This window comes from Homo sapiens, chromosome 5 (assembly GCF_000001405.40).
Source record: "Homo sapiens chromosome 5, GRCh38.p14 Primary Assembly".
NCBI classification, from domain to species: Eukaryota; Metazoa; Chordata; class Mammalia; order Primates; family Hominidae; genus Homo; species Homo sapiens.
In genome coordinates, this window is record NC_000005.10 from 171,718,416 (window position 1) to 171,745,527 (window position 27,112).

General features: G+C 42.8%; 2 long non-coding RNA genes across 7 annotated transcripts, besides 3 other annotated features; one reads left to right on the top strand and one right to left on the bottom strand.

Moving 5' to 3' along the window:
* Positions 1 to 317: 317 nt before the first annotated feature.
* Positions 318 to 24,065, bottom strand: LOC105377724 (uncharacterized). Of its 6 annotated transcripts, XR_941218.3 has the most exons (6): positions 19,414 to 19,529; positions 18,562 to 18,919; positions 17,599 to 17,914; positions 16,337 to 16,463; positions 14,558 to 14,641; positions 6,146 to 7,841 (listed from the first exon to the last, which is right to left on the bottom strand). It is a non-coding gene; the product is annotated as an uncharacterized LOC105377724 (long non-coding RNA). The 6 variants fall into 6 exon arrangements; XR_001742983.2 differs by lacking the exons at positions 14,558 to 14,641; positions 19,414 to 19,529 and adding an exon at positions 318 to 512 and having other exon boundaries at positions 7,489 to 7,841; positions 18,562 to 19,398; XR_001742980.2 differs by having other exon boundaries at positions 18,562 to 24,065.
* LOC105377723 (uncharacterized) lies at positions 19,970 to 24,374 on the top strand. Its single transcript, XR_941215.1, has 2 exons — positions 19,970 to 20,054; positions 24,169 to 24,374. It is a non-coding gene; the product is annotated as an uncharacterized LOC105377723 (long non-coding RNA).
* Positions 24,453 to 24,512: an enhancer, noted in NCBI's record as "active region_23613". NCBI's record gives its function as "activates an Ori minimal core promoter by ATAC-STARR-seq in GM12878 lymphoblastoid cells {active_cell/tissue: GM12878}" and the evidence as "EXISTENCE:reporter gene assay evidence [ECO:0000049][PMID:35858748]".
* Positions 24,543 to 24,612: an enhancer, noted in NCBI's record as "active region_23614". NCBI's record gives its function as "activates an Ori minimal core promoter by ATAC-STARR-seq in GM12878 lymphoblastoid cells {active_cell/tissue: GM12878}" and the evidence as "EXISTENCE:reporter gene assay evidence [ECO:0000049][PMID:35858748]".
* Positions 24,673 to 24,752: an enhancer, noted in NCBI's record as "active region_23615". NCBI's record gives its function as "activates an Ori minimal core promoter by ATAC-STARR-seq in GM12878 lymphoblastoid cells {active_cell/tissue: GM12878}" and the evidence as "EXISTENCE:reporter gene assay evidence [ECO:0000049][PMID:35858748]".

The following is a 27,112-nucleotide window of genomic DNA, read 5'->3' on the forward strand; positions in this document are numbered from 1 at the left end:
GCTTCTAGAAAAGCACAGTTACAAAGAGGTTGACTCAGCTGTGCGGTCTTTTGGCCCTTCTCCATCCCCATTCCTCTTTCTTCCTGACTGGAATGCTAATGTGATGGCTGGAGCAGCAGTGACCAGGAAGGGACCATAAGGAGATGCTGAGGATGGAAACAGGTACTAAGGATGGCTGCAGCTGAGAGATTTAAAAAAAAAAAAAAAGAGTCTGGGATGTTAACAACATTGAGGAGATCAGTTAACTGTCAGTTGCCTACTTTGGGTTCTTTTACAAGAGAGAAAAATGAATCTCTACCTGCTTAAGCCAGAGTTATCTGCACCTCTTTTATACTGAGCTGAAAGTCATTCCTACCTGTTGTAGTATCCTCACTGCCCTCTGGATGAAGTCTTGCCTTCCATGGCATGGCTTACAAGTTCTTCATGCCCTGGTCCTCTGGGTTTCTATGGACGAACTTCAGTAGGTTCACGAAATTAGACGCAAAATTGTTTGAGCATGTGTGCATTTTCCCCTAGAAAGAGGACCAACAGTTTTCATCAGATTCCCAAAGGGACCTGTCGCCCTCTCCCCAAGGTTTTTTCAACCTTACATGACAACGCCACTTGGTAGGCCTAATTGACCCCTTTTACACTTGAGGAAACAGATTCTGATCACTTCAGCACCTTGTAAAATGCTGGATTCTTTCTTTCTTTCTTTCTTTTTTTTGAGATGGAGGCTGGAGTACAGTGGCGCAATCTCGGCTCACAGTAACCTCTGCCTCCCGGGTTCAAGCAATTCTCTTCCTCAGCCTCCTGAGTAACTGGGATTACAGGTGTCTGCCACCACGCCTGGCTAATTTTTTGTATTTTTAGCAGAGACGGGGTTTCACCATCTTGGCTAGGCTGGTCTTGAACTCCTCACCTCGTGATCCACCCCCCTCGGCCTCCCAAAGTGCTGGGATTACAGGCATGAGCCACTGCGCCTGGCCTGGATTCTTGAGAAGTGAAGGGAGAAGGAATAATGGATGAGTCTGGAGAAAAAGGTGCCAGGAAAGAAGTGGACTATTCCTCGTGTTTGAAGCCAGGGCAGAGGGTCTGCATTTGCACTCTGGGCTGGGGCTTTCTGAGGCTTGCTGGGTGTCCTGCCTCTCAGCTAGTGTGGCTTTGACGACCAAGGGCACTCTTTTTCGCATGTTACCTGCCTTAAGCTCTGCTTGACTAATGTCTCCAGTTGATTTCTCAGTAATTGAGAGGCTCTGGCTTTTGAAGTCATCTCGTCAGCCTGGTTTATTGCTGCTCTGTTCAATTGGTGGTTTACCCTGGATTGGTGCACAGCCCCCATATTTCCAGAGCATGTGCTTGGAACCCTGTCCAGTGGCCACAGGGATTGGGGGATAAGAGGCCCAGTGGATTTTCTTAAACCCCTGTCTTCGCTCAGTTCCCGAAGAAGGTCAATGCAACTTCTGAAAAGTTACAATGTTTGCTGAGCTCCTGGTTGGCTGAGCCCACGTCAAGGCTCACAGACTCCCGTTGAGAGCATCTTCTCGGACTCTCAAGATGTTATGAAGGATTTTGCGTAGTGGATATTTTTCTTCCTATGTTTAGCTGCCCAGCATCTGAGCCTCCTTCCTGTGTTTGGGGCACTCCGATTTCATGATTCTTAGTGAAAGACAGGGGGGTCCACCTCCCTCTACTGAAGCTAGAAAGGCCAGACTCTCACTTTCTCCACCTCCCTCACAGGGTACATAGCCAGCGCACCACCAGCCATCTCTCCATATTATCAGCGGGGAACTGGTGACACCAAGAAGAGGGACAATGGAGAGACTGCCTTGGTAGGAGCAACCAGCACAGTGTGGGACAGTAGGAAGGTACTGTGACATCTATAGAGGGGTGGCTCTGGCGGTAGCCGCATCCTTGCAGGGCAGGTTCCGTGCTTGATGGTGGCCAAGGTTCTGGGAGACTTTCATGCCAGCCTGGCTCTCTCCTTCATTTTGTAGGTCAGGTAACTGAGGTGCCTACAATAGAAGTGACCCACATACCACAGACAGGCAGCAGTTTAGGACTATCATCCACGTCTCCTGAGTCACAGTCAAATGAATACACTCTTCTCTAATTCCCTCCTTAAACTTTGAAGTCAGCTAGGAAATACCCTAAAGCCACATAATAATAGAGATCCTCAATTCCATTCCATGAGGCTATCTCATTCCACAAAACAGGCATTTATGTAGCACTCATTATATACTGGGAGAATGTATCAGCTATTGTTCTTAACGAGACTATCTCATTCCACCAAACAGGCATTTATTTAGCACTTACTGCATACCCCATAACTACAGACACTGGGAGAGTATATCAGCTATTGTTCTTACAACAAATCATCCTTACACTCAATGGCTTAAAACAATAAGTATATATTATTACTCTTGAGTTCTGCTGGTCTTGGCTCATTCACGCCTCTGCAGTCAGCTGTGTGCCATCCAGGTGGCTCTGCTGATCCTGGCTGGGGTGGCTCACACACTTGGGGGTTGGTTGGCTATAGGATGGTCTGCAATCACCAAAATCTAGAGGAGGAAAATCCTACATTCCGGGGAGATGTCAAGGCTTCGAGAAAATAATGTTGAGGGCTGCTGGGCTCTCCCACGGCATGCTCTTCCTCCTGACACCGCCCTTCGCTGGCCCTCCACCTCCCCCACAGCCGCGAGTGTCTCCATGCCAGAAGGTGAAGCTTACTTGTCCCTTGATGGTTCCAGAGATTGGGTGCTCAGTTTAAGTCATTTATCTCCTCAAGGTTTTTTCTTTTGGGTTTCCCAGCAGCCGAAGTAGGGGTGGGGGAGCATCAATTGCCTAATATTTATTGTAAAGAGAAAATAACTCCCAGCAAAGCTTCTCTTTAACACTTATTTCTGAAATAAAAATTCATGCAGAGCTTCATCTGGGTACCCTAAATCACATAGAGGACCAAGTCTCCACAATAGCCCTACAAGAACGGAATGCAGGATATGCGGAGCTATTTCTTGGGCTGCCTCTGGATGAAGGCTAAGGGGTAAAGATCGACCAACACAAGGCCAGAGTGCAATCCAATATGATGCAGCAGTCACATCCGACTCTGTGTGGCTCTGTAAAGAGACAGAAGCCCCTGGTACAGAAAAGCAGGTGGCACTCTGCATAAGGAAGACAAAGCCTGGCCTTTGGAGGCTCAATCTGCCAGACACTGTGCTAGATACCATGCATCCGGAATCTCCTTCACTCTCCACGACAGCTTCCTGTAGCAAGCATTTCCTCTTTTACACCAAAGAAAACAGACCAAGAGAAGCTGAGTGACTTGTCCAAGGTCCCATGATAGCAAGTAAGCAGCCAAAGCCCGTCAGATTCATATCACTTTTTTACCCCTGGGCCACGGAGCAAAGCATTCATCTCCTCAGGGACCCCAGCTGTTAGATTAAACAGAGAGCTGTGTGGATCAGAAGAATGAAAATGCAAAGCTCCTATAATTCATAGCAATACCTGGATTTGAGAGCCTCTGCCTACTTTTTCAGTTTCAACTTAGAGAAAATGTTAACGTAGTTACCAGCTCTTTCTCTTCTATAATCACTTTTACAATGGTAATAATTATGGACACATTTTATTTGTTTGTTTATAACATGCTTCTTCCATTAAGAATTTGGGGTGGTATAAAACAAAAACATGTGATGTGTGTGATACACAGAAGAACCAAAGAAAAGGAAGATGAACCAATCACAAGGTAGTGTGAATAACTTGAAATTGACCTTTTAATCTGGTTCTGAGCTTCCAGCCAGCCAGAGCAAAAAGGAATACAAGATTAGTTCTTTGTGTTTATTTGTTTTTTGTTTTGTTCGGTGTTTTGAGACAGAGACTCTCTCTGTTCTGCAGGCTGGAGTGCAGTGGCATCATCTCATCCCACTGCAACCTCTACCTCCTGGATTCAAGCCATTCTCCCACCTCAGCCCCCCAAGTAGCTGGGACTACAGGTGTGCACCATTATGTCTGGCTAATTTTGGTGTTGTTTTTTTTTTTTTTTTTTTTTTGGTAGAGACAGGGTTTCTCCATGTTCCCTAGGCTGGTCTTGAACTCCTGAGCTCAAGCCATCCACCTGCCTCGGCCTCCCAAAGTGCTGGGATTACAGGCATAAGCCACCACACCCAGCCTCAGGAATGTAAGATTAGTTATTCACATATTTTCAGAAGAGGAGAAGAGTATATCCTTCTCTCAGGTTTCTCCTAATACTGAATTCTGAAAGAAGTTTACTTATGAAAGCACCACTGAGTGATACATGTAACAATATCTTCAGTGATATTTTTATAATAAATACATTCTGGAATTCCATATGACTGTCCATGTATGGCATTAAAGCTCAACTCAGAAAATTAAATTCTGAGACAGAAATTCTGATGGGTATTACAGGAAACTGATAGAAATGAGTTCTTTTATATACTGTCAGAAGGCAACACCTAATTCCCTGTTGTGGTATTCAGGCACAGTATTGTTGTTCTTGTTAGATTAAATGCTCAAAATCATCGTCTCATTCCCTTATCACATAGGACCATTTCAGCTTTTAAGCTGCAAGTAATAGAAAATCCAACTCAAAGTGCTTTATCCAAAATAGAATTTTTTATTCCTGTTATTAAAAAGTCTTCAGGCACGGCTGGATCCAAGGGCTCAAGTAAACTCAAATAAGCTTGGTCTCCACAATTAGCATGAGGTGGGCTTCGTTCTCAGGATTCTTATGGTTTCAGAATGGTTCTTGCAGCTTTGAACCTTCTATATGATCTGTTTCAGACCCGAGGGAGAGATTCTGATCCTGCCTCAGCACCCTCGGGAGGAAAGAATCTATCCTCTTCTCATTGTCCCAGGTTTTGTCATGGTGAGAGGAAGTAACACCTGCCTGGCTTAAGTCTCAATCTCTTAACCTGACCACACACCTTGAGAGATACCAGAAGAGAAATGGACAATGAGGAGGTGTACAGCATGGCTCACAGCATGCACTTTCTGCATTCGTGAGCCTACCTGCAAGCACAGAGGGTTTGATCTACAAAATTAGATCATTTTCAAAGGCCTGAGAGATGATTGATGCTTTCCAGAATTTGATTCTTTTTTTAGGGTGGGGGCGGGAGGGGGGGCGGACGGAGTCTTGCTCTGTCGCTGTCGCCCAGGCTGGAGTGCAGTGGCACAATCTCGGCTCACTGCAACCTCCGCCTACTGGGTTTAAGCAATTCTCCTGCCTCAGCCTCCTGAGTACCTGGGATTACAGGCGTGCGCCACCACGCCAGGCTAATTTTTGCATTTTTAGTAGAGATGGGGTTTCACCACGTTGGTCAGGCTGGTCTCCAACTCCTGACCTCGTGAGCCTCGGCCTCCCAAAGTTCTGGGCTTACAGGCATGAGCCACTGCGCCCGTACTCCAGAATTTGTTAAACCATGGTTTAACAGGCAGCCTTTTTTCTTCCTTAGAGACAATACTATAATCATCTTCTAATCAATAACATTATGTATTAATTGAAACATGATAGCACTTAATAGTTGATAAAAATGTACCATTTTGACTTCGCATTTCAACAATAACAGTTGTAGAAGAAATAAGAATAGCAATAGTATTAATGACAATAGCTAATATATTCAAGCACTAACTTTGTGATAGGCACAATGCTAAACACTTTCCATACCTTATATTTTTAGTCCTCTCAAAAACCCTGTGAGGGGCATTTTATCATCTCCATTCAAAAGTGAGGAAATTTAAAGAGCTACAATGAACGGCTTCCACCCCTGCACCCTCCTTCCTAGTAAATTTTAGAACTCAAACAAAGGTCTGTAAATCTGGGACCCTGCTTTATTAAATGATGCTGTCTATTGACAAAGTTTCTCTTTTTATTTTATAAATATCACATATCTTTTATTTCAGAATATGCACTATACTTCATAGTAATAAAACTTTTTTTTTTTTTTTTGGTTTAGTCATTTAGGCTTTCCACTGAAATCCAGGAAGCTTTTATCATTCATCTGATTTAAGACAGTTTCAAATATCTAAATATAGTTAGTTAACTGCTGCCTATAAATATGGCGGAATTTTTTATGTGTATTATCCATAGTACATGATATGTCATTTTTTGTTGTTCTTGCTGAAAAAAAAAAACAAAAAAACGACCATCCTACACACTGTGGGATGATTTATTCGATTGTTGTTATTCATGGCTAGGAAAAACTTAGAATGCTCAAAATAAGCAAAAACATTTCTGCAGCTGCTACAGATGGCCTACTCCCCAAGACTAGGCTGGCCCTGAACACCAACAGTCATGCAGAAGTGCCAGCCTCATATTGAAGCTATTAGCACTTTCAAGGAGCGCATGCTGCGGGTGTGTGTGTTGGGGGGGTGTCTCTGTGAAAATTCTGATGACTGGTAGAGTGCCCAAGCGAATCTTTGACCCTGAAGTCAGCCCCAGTCTTGGGGCCCCTCACATGCAAGAGCACCTTTTCTCATGCAACTGGAGCTGTGTGGAGCAGGGAAGGATGAGGTGTTAAGAGAGTCCTAATGAGCCATGTCACAGATGTGTAAAACAGCTGGAGGGATGATGTCACCACGCTCCAAGCTCACCCCGCCGCCTCTGCTACTTTCTGCCATTATTAGAAACAGACACTGGAGGAGGGCGCCTAGAATACGCGCCGGTCCCCTTCTCAACCACTCTCTGGTCCTAATTAGGTAGGCTGGGCCCCAGCTGTGCACGTAAACCTCACCAGGTGACTCCAAACCGTCTAGGCTTCTAATCCAGATGAGTCCTGCTCCAGCTTGCACTAGAGAGAGGCCATCTTCAGTGGAAGATTGATTGTACTTGTTACATTAAAAGCCTGACCTCCGGGTGGGTGGGGAGAAAAATTAAATTCTTAGGGAAAGGATCTGAAAAGGATTGCAATTAATCACAAACTCTGGACATTTTCAATTAAGAGTGCAATTCTTAACACGCCTGATGTCTGATGATGTCAGACTCTGTCATGGCTGTGAGTTTAAGACTTGTTTTCCAAAACAAACATGAGGAATCATCCTGTCTTGTGCTAACTCCAAACATACACGTTTTCTCCTTCTTTAATCTGGAAAAGGAGCCACTGAAGTGCCTAATATGTGTCAAGTGGTTACATAGAGTGGCTCATTCAATCCTTTAACAACCCTAGGAAAGATTGTTATAGATGAAGTTGAGCTCAGAGAGGAGAAGCGACTAATCTAAAATCACACAGCAAGTAAGTGGAGTGGAATTTGAATCCAGGCCAGCCATCTTACAGATCATGTCCCTGGCTTCCCCAACTACACTTACCACCCCCATCTCCATCCTAGTTCAGTTTCTTTGTTATACGTTACCATACAACTGGATTTCCTTTCCTTCAGAACACTGACCACAGTTATAAGTTTGTTAGTGTAATTAGGTAAATCTTCCCCTTCTGACTGTATGCTCCATGAGGACAGAGCCCACATCTGATTTTGCTAGCCATCCATCAGTCATCTCACCCTCTTTATTCTTGAAAGCTGAGTCAAGATTTCATTCTGTTGTATACTTCTTTTTCAAAGGACTTAAGGACAATCCAATAAGGACAAATCCAATCCAAGTCTAAACCACTCATAGTGGCCCCTTTCCTTTGTCGGCATTTGACTGACAATATGGGCACAAGGGCCAGTTCTGGCCAAAGAAGTAAGATGAGAAGTGAGCTGGTGGAACTCTGGGGAAAGTTTTTCTGCTCTTAAAAGCAAAAGCCTGGGAAGAGCGAGGCTCTCCTCTTCCTCTTGACATTGTCATGTCTGCATCAGACCCTTGATACTGTAGCAGTCGTGTGTCTACAAGAAGAGCCAGTGGAGGAGCAAATCTGTAGAGAAAATAAGGGAAAGAGAAAAAGAGCATGAATACTTGATGATGTGGGAGTTGTGAGAATTAAGTAACATTCATTCATCTTGCTGTTATTTATTGAGTGGCTACTAAATATCAGGCAACAGGAGTGTAACAGTGAACAAAATTAAAATGGTCCTTGCCCTTATGAAGCCTCCTCTAGTGAGGAGGACAGGCATTAAATAAATAAACATATTGATATACAATTACAGGGAGTTACATTTCCAGGAGAGTAACCTGTAGTATAATAACCTTCCTGCAAGTCACAATACACACTCTGGACAAAACAACAATTTGAAGGCAATTGTTACCTTTTTACCAAAAGAAGACAGAAACTGGAAGGAGGTTGACTCCATTTTTGCCTTAAAATGCTTTCCAGTTTATGTATCCCAGAGTGGCTAGAACTCAAGCAAAAAGCCTCAGCTGGCTTGAGGAGTCAGAGGATGCAGTTTGGAGCTGCCAGAAAGGTAGAAAGTGAAGAAGAAATGTGGAAAAAGAGGGAGCAATGAAATGTGAACCCCTAAAAACCTAAATTAAAAACTCTACTTCAAATTCTTGTTGACTCATGCACTGTGCATGTGTAAGGAAGATTTCAAGGTTCTTAGCAAAAAGCAACAGCTGGGAAGTTGGAGAAATTGAGCAGTTCAGCTGTTATTCAACACAAGAAAAACTGAGTTTGGAGTTTGAACTTAACCAAAGTAATGCCTTGCTGAAACAAAAATAATAACACTCTTCAAAGGAAGATAACTGAATCCAGAGGCTCTACAAGGTACTGTTCAAAACCTCCAGTATAGGCCAGGAGTGGTGGCTTATGCCTGTAATCCCAGCACTTTGGGAGGCCAAGGCAGGCAGATCATGAGGTCAGGAGATCGAGACCATCCTGGCTAACACAGTGAAACCCCGTCTCTACTAAAAATAGAAGAAGTTAGTCAGGCATGGTTTTGGGCGCCTGTAGTCCCAGCTACTCGGGAGGCTGAGGCAGGAGAATGGCATGAACCCAGGAGGTGGAGCTTGCAGTGAGCCAAGATCGCGCCACTGTACTCCAGCCTGGGTGACAGAGCAAGACTCCGTCTCAAAAAAAAAACCCTCCAGTATAAAATGAAGCATTACTAGGTATACAAAGAAATGGGAAAGTGTGAGTTGTAATCAAGAGAAGAAAACAGGCAATAGAAACCATCCCCAAGACAATTCAAATGTTTGAATGAGCAGAAGAGCATTTCAAAGCATGAATTAGAAATAAGTTTAAGGATTTAAAGAAAAACACTGTCATAATGATAGAATAGTTGAGGAATCTCAGCCAAGAAACTAAAACTATTTTTAAAAACCAAATAGAAATTCTAGAATTAAGAACGATAATATATAAATGAAAAATTTACTGAGTGGGTTTAACAGCAGATTAGAGATGAAAATATAAAGAATCAGTGAACTTGAAAATAGATCATAGGCATTATCTAATCTGTAGAAAAGAGAGGGAAAAGCAGATAAAATAAACAGAGCTTCAATAGCCTGTAAAAATATATCTACCTGTGTAACACGTTTACCTAGTAATTTTGTGGAAAATGAAACAAAAAGCTCAGAAAACACATGCAGGATAAATACAATTATACCCAGCCACATCACAGTGAAACAGCTGTGATAAATAGAAAATCTTTTTAGCAGCCAGAGGAAAATAACACTATGCAAAAGAATAACTATAAAAATGATTACTAACTTCTCACAAAAAGCAATAAAGACCAGAGACAATGGAAGGGCATCTTTATGATACTGAAAGAAAAAAAAAAAGTGGTCAACCCAGGATCTTAAGCAAAACTATCCTTCAAAAAGGAAGTAAAATAAACATTTTACAAGTAAATAAAAATGTACAGGTTTTTTTTTTTTTGCCAGTCAGCTTAGAATACAAGAAATGATAAACTAAACTTTTTCAGGATGAAAAGAAAGGACATCAGGTGGAAACCCAGATCTACAAGAATGAGTGAAGAGCACTAGAAATAATAAATATGTGAGTGTAAAAGATTATTTTTTCTGCTCTTAATTTTTTTAATGGCAGTTTAAAGAAAAAAACCCCATATGTTGTGGGATTTACACATGTGTATATGCAATATACATTATAATAATGGCACAAAGGATAGGGTTAAACTATAATCTTGGAATAATGTTTCTTATGGGAATTTATACAATATTAATTCAATAGTCTCTGATAACTTAAGGATGCATAGTGTAATCCCCAGAGCAATTTCTACAAAATACAAAGAGATATAGCTAAAAATACAACAGAAAAATTAAAATGAGATTCTAAGAAGTATTTGACTAACCCAAATAATATAGGAGAAGAAAAATAGAGGAGCAAAAACAGACAAAAATATGTAGAACAAGTAAAAAAAGTAATAGGCCAAAATCCAACCATATCAATATTTGCATTAAATTTCAATAGACTAAAAAACCACTTCCATTAAAAGGTGGAATATATGAAGACCCAGCTATATGCAGTCTACAAAAAAAGAGTTCTTAACTGTAACCACACAGATGGCTTGAAAGAAAAATAACAGAAAAAGATATATCTGCAAACCACAAGCAAAAAAAACCGGATTGCTATATTAATTTCAGACACCCTAGCCTTCAGGGAGAGGACAATTACCAGAAATACAGAAGGGTGTTTAGAAATGATAAAAGAGTCAATTCATCAGGAAGATGTAACAATCATAAATGTGAATGAGCCTATTAACAGTGTTTCCAGATACATGAAGTAAAACTAACAGAACTAGGGGGAGAAACAGACCAATTCAAAAATCATGTTGGACATTTTAACACCTTTTTCTTAGTAAGTGATAGACAGAAATCATAAAAATATAGGAGACCTAAACAAGACTATTGACTACATTTACCTAATTGACATTTATAGAACACTACACCCAACTACTGTTGAATAACCAAATGCAGGCCCATAAAACACATGTCAGAGGATTTCAAAAGATTGTACTCTAACAGTATGTTTTATGATGACACTAGAATTAAATTAGAAAGTAATAACAGTATTTAGAAAGCTTCAAATATTTGGAAATTAAGCAACACATTTATATCATTATATTCAAAGAAGAAGTAATAAACCAAATCAAATTGTATTTTGAACTGAGTAATAACAGAAATACAATATATCAAAATTTATTAGATTTAGCTAAATTATCACTTACAGGGAAATGTGTAGATTTAAGTGCTTCTATGGAAAAGGAGAAAAGTTTAAAATCAATTAAGTTTCCACCTTAAAATGTTATGGAAAGGCAGGCAAGTTAAATACAAAACACATAGAAGATAAAATAAGTACAGAGTTCAGTGAGATAGAAAACAGACAAACAATGAAGAAATTAACAAAACCAACAGTTGCTTTTTTAAACAGACTAAATAAGTTGATTAATCCTTAGCAATTCTCACCAAGAAAAAAAGAAAATACAAATTACCAATATCAGGAATAAAAGAGAGTATATAAGTACAAACTCTAAATACATCAAAATGATAAAAGGATATTTTGAAAAATTTTATTGCAATAAATTCCACAATTGAGATGAAATTATCAAATTCCTTTTAAAAATGTCATTATAACTTTGCAGGATAAAATGGAATATTCAAATATCCCTACATACACAGAAAATTAATTATTATCAAAACCCTTCCCAAAAGGAAAACTTGAAGCACAGATAGTTTCACTGGTGAATATTAAAAATCATTTAAGGAAAAGTAATATCAATCTTTTATAAACTTTGAAGAAGTCAACATAACCTTAACACCAAAATATGACAAAAATATTACAAGAAAAGAATATTACAGACCAATCTGTCTCATAAACATAGACACAAAAATCTTTGGATAAAATATTAGCAAATTGAATTCAGTGATACATAAAGAGTACATTACATAATAACCAACTGGGGTCTATCCCAAGAATGCAAGGTTGGTTTAACATTCCAAAGTCAATAAACATAATTAACTCTATTGACAGAATAAAGAAGGTAATTGATGAATAAAAAGCATTGGCAAAATTAAGCACCCATTCATTGTAAAATCTCTCAGCAAACTAGGAAAAGAAGTTTTTCAATCTGATGAAGGTTATCTATAGAAAGCATAAAAGTAAGATTATAGTAAATGGTGAAATATTAAATATTTTTCTTAAGATCAGGCACAGGACAAAAATGTCTCTCTCAACACTTATATTCAACGTATCAGTGAATATCTTCACCAGTGTAATAATTCAAGAATAGGCCACAAAGATAAGAAGGAGGAAACAAGTAAAATTACTTCTGTTTAAATGTGACATCATTATTAATATAGAAGATCCTAAGAAATACATAAAATGACTCTGAGAACTATGAGTGAATTTAGCAAGGTCATAGGATACAAAGTCAATATTCGAAATCAATTGTATGTCTATATATTAGCAGCAAACATTGAAAAATGAAATTTAGAAAGCCCATTTCCAACAGTATCAAAAAAGTAAATACTTAGGGATAAATTTAACAAAAGGTGTGTAAGACCCTTACACTAAACACCAAAATATTGCTAAGAGAAATATTTTTAACTAAATAATGGATAGATATGCCATGCTTATGAAATGGAAGACTTGGGATTCATAATCAGTTTTCAGTTCTTCCTGAACAAATCTACTGAGTCAACGTGATCCCAATCATAATCTCAATAGATTTTGTTCAGGTTGCATTAATTCAGTGTCTGGTGTCTTCTTGCTGTGTCCTTACATAGTGGAGAGGACAAATTAGCCCTCTGGGGTCTCCTTTATAAGGGCACTAGTCCCAGTTATGAGGGACCTAATCACCTCCCAAAGGTCCCATCTCCTAATAGCATCACCTTGAGGGTTAGGATTTCAACATATGAATGGGTGGGAGGAATAAACATTCTGACCATAACAAATGGCAAAAGGACAGACAATTCCATGGAAAAGAACTGAGAGTTCAGAAATAGAACTACATGGATACAATCAACAGGTTGTTGTGTTTTTGTTTTTTAACAAAGGTTCTAAAGACTGGAGAAAAGAAAGTATTTTTTTAACAAGTGCTGCAACAACTAGTTATCTATATCAGAAAAAAAATGACCCCTATTTCCCACCACACACAAGACTAAGAAAATATTTGCAAAAACAAATCTGACAACTGATTAGTATCCAGAATATACAGAGAACTTCTACAACTCCATAACAAAAATATTTTAATTACTTTATTGCCAAAAGACTCAAAAAGACATTTCACAAAGAAAGATAAACAAATGACCTTTGAACATAGAAAAAACTACTCAATATTATTAGTCAGCCAGAGGAAAGCAAATTAAAACAATGAGATATTAATACCTCTACATGGCCACTAGCATGGCTACACTTCAAAATACTGACAACCTTAAATGTAAGCTAGGATGTGAAGCAATAGGAATGCTCATACATTGTTGGTAGGAATACAGAATGGTACAACTACATCAGAAAATGATTTGCCTGTTTCTTATAAACAAATATATGTGAATTATACTTCAGTAAGGCTACTACAAAAAACATGAAAAAAGTTAAATATATATCCACCCTATAATCCAGCAATTCCACTTCTAGGTATTTATCCAAGAAAATGAATATATATGTTCACAACAACACTTACACATGAATCCTCATAGCAGCTTTCATCATTATAGCCCCAAACTGGCAATAACCCAGATATCCTTCAACAGGAGAATAAATAAACAAAGTATGGTATACTTATAAAATGGAGTACTGCTTAGCACAAAAAAGGAACAAACTACTAATACATGCAACAACATAAATTCCTCTCACGAGGAATGTTATAGTGAAGAAACTTGGTAGGCAGCTCTTTAACCAAGTGAGCAGAAGTAACAACACCAACACTGGGACAAATGAACCCCATGTGCTTCCCAGTTTGAGGCCTTGAAAAATACACATCACTTTGGTAGTATTCTTGCCAAGAAATGCATAATGTGAATATAATTGTTAGGAACCAGGAGATAAATTCAAATTTAGAGCCCTTCTGCAAAGTAACTGTCTTGTATTTCAAAAGGGTGATAAGCATGGAAGACAAGGAAGGACAGAGGGCCTATTCTATATTAAAGAAGGCTGAAAGACATGACAATAAATGCAATCCTGGTCCTGAATTGGCTCCTGGACTGGGAAAAAACGGCTATTAACAACTAGATTGTTGGGTCAACTGATAAGATTTGAATGTAGTCTGTGGATTAGATGACAGAATTATACTCATGTTAATTTTCCTGAGTTTGATCATTGCATTGTTGTTATATCAGAGCACACCTTTTTTCTTAGACAAGCAAGACACACTGAAGTATTTAGGGACAAAGTGACATAATATATATATATATATATGCAGAGAGAAAGGAGAATGAATGAATAAATAAATGAATGACAAAGCAAAGGGGCTATATGTAAACAATTGCTGAATCATGGTAAAGAATATTCAAGGATTCTTTTTTTATTTTTTATTTATTTATTTATTTTATTATACTTCAAGTTCTAGGGTACATGTGCACAACGTGCAAGTTTGATACATAGGTATACATGTGCCATGTTGGTTTCCTACACCCATCAACTCGTCATTTACATTAGGTACTTCTCCTAATACTATCCCTCCCTCAGCCCCACACCCCCTGCCCTGTGTCCAAGTGTTCACATTGTTCAATACCCACCTATGAGTGAGAACACACGGTGTTTGGTTTTCTGTCCTTGTGTTAGTTTGCTGAGAATGATGGCTTCCAGCTTCATCCATGTCACTGCAAAGGACATGAACTCATCTATTCAAGGATTCTTTACATCATTCTTGTGACTTCTCAATAAGTTTGAAATTACACCAGACTTAAAAGTCGGCCAGGTGCAGTGGCTCACACCTGTAATCCCAGCACTTTGGGAGGCTGAGGCAGGCAGATCACTTGAGCCCAGGTGTTTGAGACCAGCCTGGGCAACACGGTGAAGCCACATCTCTACAAAAAATACAAAACACTAGCAGGGCATGGTGGTGCATGCCTGTAGTCCCAGCTACTTGGGTGTCTGAGGCAGGAGCATCACTTGAGCCCGGGAGGTCAAGGCTGCAGTGAGCCAAAATCACACTACTGCACTCCAGCCTGGGTGACAGAGTAAGACACTGTCTCCAGGAAAAAAAAAATTAAAAGTCAAAAAGCATGCAATTACACATTTTGATACATGCAATGAAGAGATAATGCATGTAAGGTACTTAGCCCAGGGTAAGCACCTAATAGCAGCTATTGTTCTTGTAGGCAGAAGAAATGGGAAGGAGCTGTGTACCCACTCACACAGAAGGTAACTCGGCTAGCTTTTTGCCCAGCTCTCTCCTTATGGATAAGATAGATGAGACTAAGAGATGGGGAGCTCCTGATGAGTGGCAAAGTTCTGTTTTTTGTTTGTTTTCTACCCTATATCAGGAATATCCACGGTGTCCAGGGAAATGTGAGCTATATGATAATTTACATTAATAATAATGAGGAGATATTTTTAAATAGGCTTTAGCAGTTATATAACGCAATGCAAACATCCAAGTATATCGGCTTTATTTCTGCAGTGATATATGGTGATAGGCCCAGAACTAGTGATGGTTTAATCCTTAAAACGTTGAGTCTACACTCATGTAATCAACATGTCTGCCACTTTCCTGGAAATATTGACTGAGGCTGCAGTGAGCTGTGACTGTGCAACTGCACTCCAGCCTGGGCAACAGAGCGAGACCTTGTCCCCAAAAAGGTGGCAATTGGTCAGGACCCTGGTCAGGACCCCGGTCAAGACCCATTAGGTAGAAAGTGACAGAAAACACAACCTAGAATGGGCTAAGCTAAAATGTGTGTCAATAAAGAGTCCAGGCTCAGATGGTTTCATGCATGGCTTGACTCAGCACCTTAGACCCTGGGAGCTGGTCTTTCTCTGTCTCTATGTTCCACTCTGGCCTCCTGAGTTTGCAAGATGGCAAAACGGCTGCTGTAACTATGAACTTCCCTCATCTAAGGCCCCAACTCAGAAGGAAAGGGTAAATGCCTATCAGAGTGGCTTAAATAACAGCCTTAGGGTAGTCTGTGATTGGCCCAGTTCGGTTTTCTTTGAAACCCGCTCCTCAACCAATTAATCTGATTAGGAATATAACACACAGTGGGTGTCTTGTGCCAAAGTTAAATACTCTATTCTTGGGGCTGCTGTTATCTCTTCTGACCCTTCCCCAACTCCATGTACACACACCTCCAAACCTCAGATAGCACCTGAACCAAACGGAACTAATCCACAGGCCTGCTGAGAGCCAATCAGATCCCCTGTCTGTGACAGAACAATTACACAAGTAATTATTACCCCAAGTCCTCATGCCTCCCAGTAGCCATGCCCTTTGTAATGTGACTTTGTAGCTTCTCTCATCAAGAGGTGAAGCCTGTTTCCCCCGCCCTTGAATCTGGATTGGCCTTGTAACTTACTTTAGACAAGAGAATGCAGCAGAAGGAATGGTGTTATAGTTCTCAGAGTAAGGCCCAAGACCTGAGTCCTTCCACCTTCTCACTTGCTTGCATCTCTGCTTCTGTATGAGGACATGAGCAAGCTAGCCTGTTGGAGGATAAGCCACATAGAGCAGCGCCAAGTCAGCCCATTTGTCTGAGGTGAGGTCCAGACATATGAGAGCACCTATCCAAGACTTACAAAGCCACCCAGCTAACCCAAAGCTGACCACAGATACATGAGCAAGTCCCACCAAGCTCAGGTCAACGCAGCTGAACCACTTAGCAACCCTTAGACTAGTGGGCGAAAATCAATGTTTATTGTTGTATGACACTGAAGTGTTAATGATTGTTACACAGCATTAGTGTGGCAACAGATAACCGATACACTGTCCCCACCAAAAGCATCAGAGAGCCCCAGAGCCAGCAGCCTTGGTGGATGGTGCTGAACTTGTAGAGTCATACGGAGATGAGGCAGGAGGTGGTGCCAAAATCTTGGTGGAGGCCAAACTTGTGGAGACACAGAAACCACAGGCCAGGCACAGTAGTTCACATCTGTAATCCCAGCACTGTGGGAGGCTGAGACAGGTGGATCACCTGAGGTCAGGAGTTCGAGAGCAATCTGGCCAACATGGTGAAACCCCATCTCTACTAAAAATACAAAAAAATAGCTGGGCATGGTGGTGGGCGCCCGTAATCCCAGCTACTCGGGAGGCTGAGGCAGGAGAATTGTTTGAACCCAGGAGGCGGAGGTTGCAGTGAGCCAAGGTCACACCATTGTACTCCAGCCTGGGCAACAAGAGTGAAACTCCATCTCAAAAAAAAAAAAAAAAAAAAAAGCAAGAAAGAAAGAAAAAGGAAAAAGATAAAGAAACCACAAAGAGGCAGGGAGGCTGGCCTGCTGCCTCCCAGAGAGAGCAGAGATGGGACCACAAAGGGAGAAATGGGAAGACGAGCTGTCAGCCTGCTTTCTAGTTCCCACAGGTTGAGCTTTACTCTCTGTGCTTTCTTCTGATGAGAATCCCCTTCTTAATCCTCAGTTAGTCACCCTTTTATATGAGTGATTTTAAATGGGTTTCTGTTCTTTAAAGCCATCCTTTATTACTATGGGGTAGATAGAGCTCAATGTTTGCCACCCTATAAAAAAAGAATGAACTTCACATATACATGGGAGCCCAAACACTACCCAGAGCTTGACCACATGGTGAGAAGCATCAGGATATAGTTCTAGGATCTATGCTCACCTCCACCAGCAAAGCCACTGGGGCTTCTAGTAGGCACCATTTTCATTTCACCCCAGCAGGTCTTCTTGAAACTCAGCCACACAGATAATTCAGGTGTCCGATCATCAGACCCATCTCCAGGTCTGCACAGCAAAGGCAGCCACTGAAACCTTCCCCAAGAAGTCTGAGATTCGGTCCTGAAAGCAGATCCATTTCCACAGAATGGCTGTGGGTCCTTCCAAACCTGCGATTCCCAAGTGGTCAGGGTAGTTGGGCAATGAAATATGAACTCAGCTTCCAGTTGCTGAACGCATGCATCCAGTTTGAATGTGGATTTCTGCAATTCGGTTGACAAAAGAGTGTGTGATAGGGTTTCTTTTTCCTGCACTCTCAACTACAGATTTACTCAGATGTCTTTTCACATCATTAAGAAAGTACAAAGCTGGGCGTGGTGGCTCACACTTGTAATGCCAGCACTTTGAGAGGCCAAAGCGGGAGGATTGCTTGAGCCCAGGAGTTCGAGGCCAGCCTGGGCAACATGGTGAAAACCCAACTCTACAAAATAAAAAATAGAAAATTAGCTGGGCGTGGTGGCATGCCTATAGTCCCAGCTACTTGGGAGGCGGAGGCGGGAGGATCACTTGAGCCCAGGAGATCAGGGCCGCAGTGAGCTATGATCACACCACTGCATTCCAGCCTGGATGACAGAGTGAGACCCTGTCTCGAAAAAAGAGAATAAAGAAAAAAATAAAGTATAGTTATGAGGAGTCACTGGAGAGGCGGTTGGGGCATGAAGGCTGGGGGATTGTTCAACAGGTCAGGCCTCTTGGAGGTTCTAAAATCTCAAAATTCTTGGATTTGAGGAATTCCAAAATTTCCCCCAGAAAGCTGCATAAAAGTAAATGGGTTCTTCATACGCAGCTCAAACTTCTCTCAAATATCCCCAAACTGACAATAGAAAGGCACAAATATGAAAGAACTCACCATTTCCATGGATTTCCTCTGCCCTCACATCTTGCAATGAATCTCATCTGTGGAATTCACAGCACAGACCTTTCTGATACTTGAAGGATGAAAGGAGAATCTGGTGGCCTCATTTTCTGACTCAAGGAAAGGGTTAAAACCATTTTTCCTTTTCCCTGCAGGTGCCCCCTCTGGGGCAAATGAACTCAGCTTTTCCATGTTTAGAACAAAGGCCTCAAATTCCTTCCTGGCAGGTGTTCATGTATGTGAGCAAATTAGATTTTGAAAGTCTTTTTTGCCACAAGTCTCAGGCCATCAATGTAGGCTGTATGTTGGAAGTCCCAGGCTAGCCAGCGCCACCTCTCCGAGGCACTGCAAGCTGGAGCAGAAGAAAAAGGCAAGTAAGAAAACATGGAATTCAGAATCAGAAAAGCCTGGCTTCAAATTCCAGCATTGCCACTCTGCAGCTGGGCAACTTTTGACACATCACCCAGCTCCCTGAGCCTCAGTGTCCTCATTTGGAAAACAGGGATAATAACGCTTTCCTCACCGGGGTGTTTGAGGATCTGACAAGATGTCACATGTCAAGTGTCTGGCTCTTACTTAGTATTTAATAAGTGGTTGTGTGTTATGCTGGGTTCTTGATTGCAAGCCATGTGGTAATCAAGTGGAATTTATTGGAAGGCTATCAGGGGCTCATAGAATTGGCAGAGAAGAGTGATGAAGTCTGGAAAATGGCCAGAAACCAAGGGCTTGCCAGAGAGTTAAGCAACAGGGGCCTTAGCAAGGTCACGAGAATGGGTGGCCAGCACGCCACCGCTGCCGCTGGCCTGGAGAGCCTCCAGCCGCTCCTCCCGGCCCCAAATCACTCACTCAAGGGTCCAAGTCCTGGAGGGAACATGTGGCTACCCTAGCCTGGATTATGTGCATACCGTTTGGTTGCAGCTGGAGAAGAGAGGGGGAGAACTGGGTGTTTGTGCTTCTGTGTAAGGGGCAAGTTCATCACCCACTGTGCCGTGATGGCACACAATGGAGGGTGGGTCTCCATAGGGAATGGAAGTGCTGCTGGCCACTGAACAGTCCCAAGCCCACAAATGCTCACCACAAACGTTACTATTTAAATCCAGAAGAGAAGGCAGGTGCTTCTTGATAAAACCAGGGCAGAGTTACATGGTGTGGAGGAAAAGGGTGGGCTTGAGTTTCTGGCAAGCTCCATATGTAAGGGTTAAAATCACCTGAGGTGAGGGACTCTAAGAGGCGCAGTGCTCAAACCTCCACTTGTACTGACTGTGTGACCTTGAGCAAGTGATTTCAGCTCTCTGAGCTTCCGAGCTCTGAAGGCCCAGTTAGATGATACACCTAGAACACGCCTGGAACGAGAGCGGGTACATGGCAAACACTAAGGAAGATCTAGCTACGGTGATTGCAGTGTCTTCTGTTTAGAGAAGAGGACTGGCTTCTCCTGCACCTGAGGCCTGGAGGGTAAAGCAGAGGAGCAGAAGCAATAAACATGGGTAAGTGAGACTGATGTGTCTGGGGAAGTAAACAGCTTTCTCAGAGAGGCTCAGCCCCCTGTTAAGGGAGCTGAGTCCAAGCTCCTCTGGGGCTTCCAGCAATAACACACTGTTATGAGCAACTCCACGAGCCTGGGGCATGAATTTCTCGCCTAACATAAAGATGTCTCTGAACCTAAAATACTCCCCCAAATCACACTCAGTTCTGTCCTCGGAGGTTTTCCAGGGACATTGAGCAACTTACCTATTTTGCAGCTCGGAGCTTCCCCATCCCACCCACTCGTGACTCTGCTGAAATGTCACAGGAATCTCCTGCCCAGCTTCTTGTAACCCGAGAGTTGCCAAGGGCAGCTACCCTACGGAAAGAGATTCTGGTTCAGAGAAAATATTCTAGACAGAGCCGACATACATGTCTCTTTCTTTTTTCTGGAAGATGATTTTCCACAGTGAGCCACAAGATCCTTTTTCTAAATGAGAAAATAACAGCTTGCATGTAGCAATTGAGAGTCATCTACCCCTTATTAACCCGCAGCATTAATTAATTACTTATTCTACATGGCTCACTATCTTACACACCCTTTGAGGGATGATGGGGAAACACCAAACAAACGTAGGATTTGGTTGTCACTCATTTTCTCCAGGGTTCCAGGTTTCCCACCTTCACTGATTCCCAACAACATAACACAGTGTTACCTTATCGCATCCTCATCACATCCTCCTAGAAACCCTTGATTGGCTTTCCATTACCTTCAGGGGCCTCTTAGCACCACGTACAGTCTTCCAGGCCTGGCACCTGCCCACTTCTCCAGTCTTTCTTCTTTCCCCATCCCTCACGTCTTCTACTCTCCAGCCATTCGCTCATTCACTTTCCATTCATTCATTCTTCAAATGCGTACTGGGCAGCCACTCCAAGTCAGATGCTGTGTTAGCTGCTAGAACCACAGTGCACAGTGGGGGGACAAGACAAACAAGAGCCTTTCTCTTAAGAAGCTTACATGCCAGGGAATGTAAATAACAATGAGAGAAAGAAAGAGATGAGAGCATTTCTTTCTTTCTGTGAAAAGTGTTGCTAGGAGAATGCCACAGGGCGATGTGATTGAGAGTGAATGGAAGAGGCCGTGTGCCTTTAATTGGGTGGCCAGGGAAGGAAGGCATGAGTTGAGAACCAGCCACTCCAAATTTCTTGCAGTTCCATGATCGTCCCAGGTTTCGTCTATCCTCTGTGCACGTGCATACGCCACTGCCTCCTCCAAAATGCCCACTCCACCCCAGCCCCACAATCCCTCGTCTACTTGTAATCCTGGCTCAGTTTCATCTCCACAGGGAAGCCATTCCCAGTCTGCCAAGGGCTGACTTGGGCACCCCTTCTCAGTGCTCCCCAGATTCCCTGAGCCTTAGTGCCCACTCCACACCTACTCCATCCCTATGACGCCCAGCATCAAGAGAGCAGGACCCAGAAGTCACCCTTGCTTCACGGCGAGTACCTTGGGAAGGAGAGAAATGCTAAAGCAGGATTGGAGGGCACCCAGTTGGGGTCTGAGCTTGGTGGACATCAACGATTTTTCCAGCAATTTTTGTTTGATTAAATCCCAAAGGACATTTTTTCCTCCAACTCTTTTTCCTTTAGCATTTAAGCCATATGGTTCTGATTCATTTATACTTAACTAATTACATTGGTTTGGTTAGAGCTATTTGATGTCCGTGAGTCTTCTGAGCCTTTTCATACAATTTTCTAACTCTTTTTACTGTGAAGCCCAAAGTGGTCTTTTGCCAGCTGTAAACAGCACCAGAAGGTTACTGTTTGGTCTCGGTTTGGTCACTAGGCTGAGGCCCTGTGGTTACAAGGCCTCTGAATTTGGCAAAATGTGTTTTTTGACTCCCAGTGAAATTCTAAGAAGGTTCTCAGAAAAATATTGAGATGAGAACACATAAATAAGATATCCAGCTCTGGAGCAAGGCCCCTCCCTTTAGAGAAGCCCCCGTTGGGGTCATGGCTTCCGCCTACCTTCCCCATCCTCCCAACAGCAACTGGCAGTTGGGTCACTCAATGAAGTCCTGAGGCATTTCACTTCATGATCCCACCCTGTCTCTAGGATCTTAGAAAGTGGCATTTGTGTAACAGGTAGGATTTTATGGAGATGCCAGTGTTCTGGCCAAGTTGGCCGCAAAGCAGCTCTGTTTTTGTTACAGGAGATGGAAGGATCTGAAACCAGCAGAGGGCCCACGGTGTTTCAGGCCCTTTTCAAGGATAAAGGTGTACAAAGATGAAGAAACACAGTCCTTGCCTCCAGGGGTTTAGAGTCTAGTGTTCCTATAACGTGTAATAGCAATACCTGTTATTGATCAACTTACAATATACCAGGCTCTACACTAAGTGTTTCCAGAATATTATTTCAGCCAATGTTTGTGATAACTTCAGAGATTGGTACTTGTCTTAGTCCATTATCTGTTGCTTATAATAGAATATCTGAAACTGGGCAATCTATAAAGAAAAGGAATCTATTTCTTACAGTTATGGAGGCTGCGAAGTCCCAGGTAGAGGGGCCACATCTGGTGAGGGCCTTCTTGCAGGTGGGGACTCTCTGCAGAGTTCCAAGACAGCTCAGGGCATCACATGGTGAGGGGGCTGAGCTTGGAAACTTAGGTCTCTCCTCCTCCTATAAAGCCACAGTCCCACTCCCATGATAACCCATTAATCCATTTATGAGGGCACAGCCCTCATGACCCAATGGCCTCTTAAAGGCCCCACCTGTCAATACTGCCATATTGGGGATTAACTTTCAATATGAGTTTTGGAGGGGACACACATTCCAGCCATAGCAATACTCATAATATCTCCCACTGGCCCATGAGGAAAGTGAGTCTCCAAGAGTTCAAGTGACACAAGTGCTAAGCAGGAGAATTGGGATTGGAACCCAAGTCAGCCTAATCCCAAAGACCACAATGCATGGAACATGAATAGCTGCTTATAGAGGCTCATGGATTCTGAAAAGGTGCATGCCAAGAATCAGACCAAAGATCATCAATGCCAAGGTCAAAGAACAAGGCATGAGGCAGGGGGTGGAGGGAGCAGTAGACAGAGACATGAACTAACATCATTGAAGACCAGGCCCAATAACCCAGCAAGGTCAGCACTATTTATATCCTCATGTTTGTAGATGAGGAAACTGGGAGTCAGACTGGTGAGGTCCCTTGCCCAGGGCCTGACAGCCAGAAAAAAGGAACACAAGAGCTTGGACCCCGTTCTCTCTGACTCCAAGGTTCTCTCCAACATATCCTCACAAATGTGATCTGTCTCCCTATGGGGTTAACGATAAAATCACAACCTCCCCCATTCAGCTAAAAATCTCCATAAAGCATAACAGTTCAGATGAAATTAAGAGAAGGTCTATTTAAGGCAAGTGACATAAATGCTAAACAGGGTAAGGAACGCTGCCCGAGAAGGGCTGAAGTAATGGAAATGGGATTCAGAATGATGAACAATGCAAAAGATTTATGAGATGGAATACTCCCAAACAGTCTATGTGCAAAGTTCTCAACAAAAGAATGAGGAGGGGCCAGGCATGGTGGTTCATGCCTGTAATCCCAGCACTTTGGGAGGCTGAGGCGGGTAGATCACTTGAGGTCAGGAGTTCGAGATCAGCCTGGCCAACATGGTGAAACCCCGTCTCTATTAAGAATACAAAAATTAGTCAGGCATGGTGGCAGGCACCTGTAATCCCAGCTACCCGGGAGGCTGAGGCAGGAGAACTGCTTGAACCCAGGAGGTGGAGGCTACAGTGAGCTGAGATTGTGCCACTGCACTCCAGCCTGGGCAACAGAGCGAGACTCCATCACACACACACACACACACACACACACACACACACACGAATGAGAAGAGAGCATACAATAGCCAAATCTGGGTGTAAGCTGAGAGAATAGAAAAGTGAAACCATGAGTCCAAAACGTACCTAGGTTGGTCAAGGGAGAAGAGAGTTTGCTGATGGATGACAATTTCCTGTTTCTTTTCTAAAAAAAAGAAGAAAGGAAATCTTTACAGATGTCTGCCAAGACGCAGCTGTTTTCAAACAGGTTTATCTTATTTAGCCATTTTCTTATTTAATCTTTACAGGGTCTTTCAAAAATTGGCTCAATTGTCATCTACATTTTACAGAGGAGAAAAAAAGGCTCAGAGATATAACATGACTTTCCCAAGGCCACAGGCCTTGAAAGTACAAATTGGATCATCCTTATCGACACCTTCCTGTGGCAATCAGAATAAAACATCGATGTCGGACCAGGACCTAAGTGTGATACGAGTCCTGCTAACATCTCTGACGACATTTTTTTTTTTGAGACAGAGTCTCCCTCTGTTGCCCAGTTTGGAGTGCAATGGTGTGATCTCGGTTTACTGCAACCTCCATCTCCTGGGTTCAAGCAATTCTCCTGCCTCAGCCTCCCAAGTAGCTGGGATTACAGGCACCCACCACCACACCTGGCTAATTTTTTGTATTCTTAGTAGAGACGGGGTTTCCCCATGTTGGCCAGTCTGGTCTTGAACTCTCGACCTCAGATGATTCGCCTGCCTCGGCCTCCCAAAGTGCTGGGATTACAGGTGTGAGCCACTGCACCTGGCCATCTCTGACTACATCTTAAAACTCTCTCTCTCTCACCCAGAATGTTCCAGTCACAAAATCATTTTTAGTTCCTCAAATACAGTTTCATTTCCAACTTGGGGCTTTTAGATATGCTGTTTCTCTGCCTACCAGAGTGATCCATCTGGATCCTTTGGTCAAACTTTAGCTCAAATGACGTCTCCTCCAACAAGCCTTCTTTGACTGCACACTCTGCAATGGGCCCTCCCACAGCTATCTAGGACAGTCACTCATCTTTCATCACTGACCATGGTTAGTGTAAATGGGAGTGTCCTCTCATCCATTGTCCATCTTCCCACTTCAGCTATAGCTCCATGAGAGTAATTTGAGCCCCCCATGAAATGTTCCTATGACTCACTGACAATTAGGTATGGTCCAAATAGAGCCTTTCTTTCACACAGAGATGTCAACCCCAGCATGGCCCCCTCACAGCTCCTCCTGAAGGGGAAGCCTTAAGTGAGCCACGTGACAGCACAGTTGATTCAATACTGCATGGCATCAGACCTACCCAGGACCCCAGGCACAGCTGTCGGGACCTGAGATGGACAGCAGGCCTAGGAATCCACAGACCAACCAGCAACCCGAGATGTGTCAGGAAGGGATGAGCTGGGCTAATCCTATTCCTCCTTGGGGAGTTTCCAGTGAGAACCGAAATGGAAAGGATATCACATGCTGGAGTCAGGGCTGTGGTGGACCATCTGCTCGTGGAGATTTGAGGGAGCAGAACTCATGAGAAGGCAGAGGCCCCAGTTAATGAAACTGGAACAGAGTGCACAAGAGCAGAGAGAAACAGAACTGCCACAGAGACACATAGAGCCTCCGGCTCCAGGGCTGTCTCAGTTCCTGCCTGAACCCCAATTCCAGTTCCCATCAAGGGAGTTCCTTCAGTGAGTCTCCCTTTCCAGGAGGTAACTAACAGTTACTTGCATCAAAAAGAGCCAAACTGAAGCAGTCTCCAAACCAAAGTTACATACCAAAAAAGTGTTTGAGCTTGTGGTGGGAGGGTGGGGATGACAATCTCCTACGAACACGAAAATATGAAACAATTTTTTTCTAGCACAATTTGTGGGGCAATCAGTATATTTTAAGCATATCAGTCATGACTCTTCCCATTACAGGAGACAGCACTGGCTTCAGGAACTGATGGATCCAGGTGCTCACGTGTGTCTTCCGTCACCCCTCTGCCTCAGCTTCTCAGAAAGCCTTTCACATTTAGTGGACCCAGTAGCCCACCAGCAGAAAAGAAGCTGTCTTCCCCAACAGATTCACAAAAGTCCTAGGATTGCAGAACATTAGACAACTTGAACTTTGGTCTGATGAGAACACTCTGATTCATCAAAGCTAGATTATGTGACCACCCCTAACATGTGGGTGGGAAGTGGGGAGAGAAGAGAGGAGGTAGTCTCCTCAAACACTTTAAGAGTGGAGTTGAGGTGATTTCCCCAAAGGAAAAATTGGGGTGCTGTCACCAAAAGAAGAGAGGATGGATAATGAGCAGGCAAAAACCCCAAATGTTCCCCTATGGGAGTAAAATCCACTTGAGGCATAGGCCACTTGGGGAGAAGACCCGTAAGCTCCTTCTCCAGGAGGGTTATCTGATTATAAGAGGAGGCTGGTAACCACTGAGTCTGCACGAAAGCTTTTCCTAGGCCTGGTCCTTGGGGCTACAGCTTTATTCTAGGGCATGTTTATTTGAGGAACATGGGCTCCTTGAGAAGCACTGGAAACAAGGGGACAGAATGGCTTCTAAATAAAACAAATCCTAGCCTGGAAGTTCTGATCTCTACTCTGCCACCTACCAACTGGGCTGACCTTGGGCAAATCCTCTCACTTCTCTGAGCCTTAGCCTCCTAATCTGTGAGATGTCAGTAATAGTACCTACCTTGCATGTTCGCCACAGAGATTCAATTAATTTAAATAGGTAGAGGACTTGGGGCAGTGCCTAGGACAACATTACACTCAGGGATGGTGATGATGATGATTATAATGATGATGATGATGTTGATGATGATGATGTTGATAATGATGATGATGATGATGATGATGATGATCATGATGATAATGGAAAAGAAGATAGAGGAGGTAGAAGAGGAGACAATCATGATGTTGGAGGTAGACTCCAATCTTCAGAATCAGAAGCTCAGGGTTGGAAAGGACCTTAAGTAGTCACCCCGCCAACTTCCACAATCCACCCCAAGACCCTAAGAAATAGGATTTGACATTGCTCAAGTTGAGGAAACTGAGGACGAGCTTGCCCATTGCTGGTCTTTTAGCCAAAGAAGTGGGAGAGATGGCCATGAAACCCAAGACAGTTAGCTTCAAAGCCTGGGCTCCCTTTACCAGAGCCTTCTGCCACGAGGCATGTTGATGACTTCTACAGTCTAGAATGAAGAACTCAGGGTCTCCAAACGAGCCATCTGT